The sequence below is a fragment of the Homo sapiens genome, chromosome 1 (assembly GCF_000001405.40).
Source record: "Homo sapiens chromosome 1, GRCh38.p14 Primary Assembly".
Taxonomy (NCBI): Eukaryota; Metazoa; Chordata; class Mammalia; order Primates; family Hominidae; genus Homo; species Homo sapiens.
In genome coordinates this window covers 163,131,429-163,132,709 of record NC_000001.11, presented here as the reverse complement: position 1 = coordinate 163,132,709, position 1,281 = coordinate 163,131,429, and the positions used below count along the sequence as shown (strand labels likewise).

The window sequence follows — 1,281 nt, the reverse complement described above, 5'->3', positions numbered from 1 at the left end:
CATCCAGGGCACATTGGTGCAAGAGGTGAGCACCCAAAACCTTGGGTAGCTCTGCTCCTTTAGTTTTGCAGGGTGCAGGCCCCATGGCTGCTCTCTCAGGTTGGAATTGAATGCCTAAGGCTTTTGTAGGTTCCAAATGCAAGCCGCCAATGGCTCTACCATTTGGAGGGTGGTTGCCCCCTTCCCACAGCTCAAATAGGGAGTGTTCTAGTGGGGGACTCTATTTAGGGGCTACCCCACAGATCCTCTTGGTGCTGTCCTAGTAGAGTCTCTCCATGGGGACTCTGCTTCTGTGGCAGGGTTTCTGATACATACTCTGAAATTTAGATGGAAGCTGCCAAGCCTCCTTCACTGTTGCATTCTGCAAGCCATCAGATGTAACACCATGTGAAAGATGCCGAGGCTTATGGTGGCTTTCACTCTCCAAAGCTGCAGCCCAAGCTGTATCTAGGCCCCTTTGACCCACAGCGGGAGCTAGAGCAGCCAGGATGAGGGAACAGTGTCCTGCAGCTGAGCAGTGAAGTGGCCCCCTAGGCCTGGCTGCCAAAACCATTCTTTTCTCCAAGGCTTCTAGGCCTGTGATGGGAGGGGCTTTCCTGAAGACTTCTAATTGGCTTCAAGGCCTTTTTCCCATTGTCTTGGATATTAGAAATGGCTCTCTTTTAGTCATGCTAATCTCTCTAGCAAGTGAGTGCTCTGAATCCTACTTGTATTTTTCTCCTGAAAATGCTTTTTCTTTCTCTTCCATGTGATCAGGCTTCAAATTTTCCAAAGTTTTATGGTCTGCTTCCCCTTTAAATATAAATCTTTAAGTAACTTCTTCACTCCCATATATGATTATAGGCTGTTAGAAGCGGTCAGGTCACTTCTTGAATGATTTACTACTTATAAATTTCTTTTGCCAGATAAGCTGGGTCATCAATCTTAAGTTTAAACTTCCACAAATCCCTAAGATGTGGACAGAATTCAGTTAAGCTCTTTGCTAGGGCATAACAAGGGAGACCTTTGCTCTGGTTCCCAATAACTTCTTCATTTCTATCTGAGACCTCCTCAGCCTGACCTTCACTGTCCATACTTCTATCAGCATTTGGGTCACAATCATTGAAAAAGTCTCTAAGAAATCCCAAACTTTCCCTGGTTTTCCCATCTTCTTCTGAGCCCTCCAAACTCTTCCAATTTCTGCCTGTTACCCAGTTCCACAGCTGCTTCCACATATTTAGGTATCTTTATAGCAATGCCCCACTTCTCAGTACCAGTTTTCTGTATTAGTCTGCTTTTTGC

At 45.7% G+C, this 1,281-nt stretch overlaps 1 annotated feature.

Moving 5' to 3' along the window:
- Positions 304-878: an enhancer, noted in NCBI's record as "NANOG hESC enhancer chr1:163101622-163102196 (GRCh37/hg19 assembly coordinates)". NCBI's record gives its function as "activates a minimal SCP1, AML or CMV promoter by ChIP-STARR-seq in naive H9 embryonic stem cells {active_cell/tissue: H9 hESC(naive)}" and the evidence as "EXISTENCE:reporter gene assay evidence [ECO:0000049][PMID:30033119]".